This window comes from Homo sapiens, chromosome 21 (assembly GCF_000001405.40).
Source record: "Homo sapiens chromosome 21, GRCh38.p14 Primary Assembly".
Classification (NCBI taxonomy): Eukaryota; Metazoa; Chordata; class Mammalia; order Primates; family Hominidae; genus Homo; species Homo sapiens.
In genome coordinates, this window is record NC_000021.9 from 5970966 (window position 1) to 5974519 (window position 3554).

The 3554-nt window shown below is 44.3% G+C and overlaps 1 protein-coding gene across 1 annotated transcript, besides 1 other annotated feature; it reads right to left on the bottom strand.

The window, feature by feature from the left end:
* Positions 1-3554: part of a sequence alteration artifact (region identified as an assembly artifact by the Genome Reference Consortium. This region falsely duplicates sequence located at GRCh38 chr21:43376890-43571979) that runs on past both edges of the window.
* Positions 1982-2420, bottom strand: LOC102724334 (histone H2B type F-S-like). The gene has a single exon (XM_006723918.5). The coding sequence runs from the start codon at positions 2366-2368 to the stop codon at positions 1988-1990; it is 381 nt and encodes a 126-aa protein (XP_006723981.1). The 5' UTR covers positions 2369-2420; the 3' UTR covers positions 1982-1987.

Here is a 3554-nt window from a genome sequence, read left to right on the forward strand (position 1 = left end):
TTGTTTTTTAAGAATTAGCTAGATAATTTTTCTCCAGGGAAGGGATTCTTTTGTTTTACATAAGCATATCTTAATAGATATGATTTTAACAATCAAATTATGTTCTAATTGTAACTTAACGGATCTTATGGTCAGTACTTTTGTCGATTTGCCTTGAAATTGATCTGTTTTTATCAAAGGCCCTTTTTATAGTTTAAATGTTCTCCAAGAACAGGCTGAAAGCACACCTGCCCTCCCATTTCCCATGCTTGTGTGTCAAGGATTGTTGTCAATTTCCACAGGCATGTTGCCTTTTTGTGTTAGTTTCACTGTTTGTCAGCCCTTTTAGATAAGACAGGGCAAGGCATTGAACCCTCCAGAACTCGTTCCCCTCATTGCAGATGGCAGCAGTAAGACCACTGCACTTGGGTGAGGGTCACTCATAAAAAGGGCAGAAGTAAACATCACCTATGAAAGTATTGTTCTTATATGATAGCACTAAATGTACTCAAATTGCTACTTTAATACAAAGGTTCCTATGGCAATATTAAATGTGAATCTGATCTGTTTTAATGTTTAAAGCTCAATAACTCTCCTTGGTTAGAGAATCAGATAATTAGTTTTGGTTGGTGATATGGTTTGGCCCTGTGTCCCCCCCCCCTCCCCATATCTCATCTTGTAGCTCCCATAATTCCCATGTGTTGTGGGAGGGAACCGGTGGGAGATTATTGAATCATGGGGATGAATCTTTCCTGTGCTGTTCTCATGATAGTGAATAAGTCTCACGAGGTCTGACGGTTTTAAAAATGGGAGTTTCCCTGCACAAGATCTCTCTTTGCCTGCTGCCATTCATGTAAGATGTGACTTGCTCCTCCTTACCTCCTGCCATGATTGTGAGGCCTTCCCACCCATGTGGAACTGTAAGTCTATTAAACCTCTTTTTCTTCCCAGTCTTGGATATGTCTTTATCAGCAGCGTGAAAATGGACTAATACAGTAAATTGGTACCAGGAGTGGGTTGTGCGGAAAAGATACCCAAAAATGTGGAAGTGACTTTGGAACTGGGTTACAGGCAGATGTTGGAACAGTTTGGAGGGCTCAGAAGAAGAGAGGAAAATGAGGGAAAGTGTGGAACTTCCTAGAGACTTGGTGAATGGCTTTGACCAAAATGCTGATAATGATATGGACAATAAAGTCCAGGCTGAGGTGGTCTCAGACAGAGATGAAGAACTTGTTGGGAACTGGAGCAAAGGTGACTCTTGTCATGTTATGTTTTAGTAAAGAGACTGGTGGCATTTTGCCCCTGCCTTAGAGGTCTGTGGAACTTTGAACTTGAGAGAGATGATTTAGGGTAACTGGTGGAAGAAATTTCTAAGCAGCAAAGAATTCAAGAGATAACCTGGGTGCTGTTAAAGGCATTCAGTTTTGTTTTTTTTTTTTTTTGTCAGTAAATACTTTATTCATTTCTCTGTTGATTTTTTTTCCTCATTACAAAACAGCACTGTATACAGCTGTGCATTTTCTGGTTACATGGAAGTGGAATTATTTGGTAAATGTGCATATTCAACATGAATAAAAATGAACAATTTGCTTTCCAGGGTAGTATTTTAAATTTATACTCCCATATTCCACCAGCAGTGCTTGAGAGTTATTGTTTATCAGCATTTCCTAATGTGAAATCGGAGTTTTTCTAAATGAGATTTTTGGCTATTTGGAGATTTTCCCACTTTCCTTGGAATGGTCTATTCAGATTCTCTACAGTTTTTATTTTATGAGATTTGATTTGTAAATATTCTTTATATATTTGAGTTTTAACTTTTTGTCAGTATGTGACAAATATATTCTGTCACCTTGTGGGTTTGTTTTTAACTGTTCGTGATATCTTTGGATGTGCAAAATTTTAATAATGTTGGATTTATATTTTTTATAGTTTTTGAATGCTGCCTTTTCATAAAGGAGTTATCTGACTTCCACTTTCCCCAGGAGCTGCAGGCATCAATTTGGCAAGTTTACTTAGCGCTGGTGTACTTGGTGACGGCCTTGGTGCCCTCGGACACGGCGTGCTTGGCCAACTCCCCGGGCAGCAGCAGGCGCACGGCCGTCTGGATCTCCCTGGAGGTGATGGTCGAGCGCTTGTTGTAATGCGGCAGGCGGGAAGCCTCACCTGCGATGCGTTCGAAGATGTCGTTGACGAAGGAGTTCATGATTCCCATGGCCTTAGAGGAGATGCCGGTGTCGGGGTGGACCTGCTTCAGCACCTTGTACACGTATACGGAGTAGCTCTCCTTGCGGCTGCGCTTGCGCTTCCTGCCGTCCTTCTTCTGCGCCTTAGTCACGGCTTTCTTCGAGCCCTTCTTGGGCGCGGGAGCGGACTTCGCTGGCTCCGGCATGTTGAAGGCGAACTACGAGCCTGAGACGAGCAGCAGATCGTGAAAACGGGAAGTAATGCAAGGCATTCAGTTTTATAAGGGAAGTGGTTTGGAAAATTTGCAGCCTGACAATGCGATTGAAAAGAAAATCCTGTTTTCTGAGGAGAAATTCAGACTGGCTAAAGAAATTTGCATAAGTAACAAGGAGCTGAATGTTAAGCCCTAAGACAGTGGAGAAAATGTCTCCAGCCATGTCACAGACTTTTGTGGCAGCCCATCCCATCATAGGCCTAGAGGCCTAGGAGGAAAAAGTGGTTTCATGGGCCAGGCCCAGGGTCCCTGTGCTTTGTGCAGCCTAGGGACTTGGTGCCCTGTGTCCCTGTCACTCCAACCATGGCTGAAAGGGGCCAACATAGTGCTCAGGTCCTGCTTCAGAAGGTGCAAGCCTCAAGCCTTGGGAGCTTCCATGTGGTATTGAGCCTGTCAGTGCACAGAAGTCAAAAATTGGGTTTTGGGAACCTCTGCCAAGAGTTTAGAGGATGTATGGAAATGCCTGGTTGTCTAGGCAGAAGTTTACTGCAGGGATGGGGCTCTCATGGAGAACCTCTGCTAGGGCAGTGCAGAAAGGAAATGTGGGGTTGGAGCCCCCACACAGAGTCCCTACTGGGGCACCACCTAGGGGAGCTGTGAGAAGAGGGCCACCGTCCTCCAGACCCCAGAATGGTAGATCCGCTGACAGCTTGCACCGTGCACCTGGAAAAGCCGAAGACCCTCAATGCCAGCCCATGAAAGCAGCCAGGAGAGGGGCTATACCTTGCAAAGCCACAGGGGTGGAGCTACCCAAGGCCATGGGAGCCCACCTCTTACATCAGCGTGACCTGGATGTGAGACATGGAATCAAAGGAGATTGTTTTGGAACTTTAAGATTTGACTGCCCTGCTGGATTTTGGACTCGCATGGGGCCTGTAGCCCCTCTGTTTTGGCCAATTTCTCCCATTCAGAATGGCTATATTTACCCAATTCCTGTATCCCCATTGTATCTAGGAAGTAACTACCTTACTTTTGATTTTATAGGCTCATAGGCAGAAGGGACTTGCCTTGTCTCAGATGAGAGTTTGGATTGTGACTTTTGAGTTAATGCTGAATGAGTTAAGACTTTAGGGGACTGTTGGGAAGGTATTATTGGTTTTGAAATGTGAAGACATGA

Bases quoted from the DNA above. Each gene is read 5' to 3' on its own strand.
- LOC102724334 (XM_006723918.5), bottom strand. From the start codon at position 2,368: ATGCCGGAGCCAGCGAAGTCCGCTCCCGCGCCCAAGAAGGGCTCGAAG.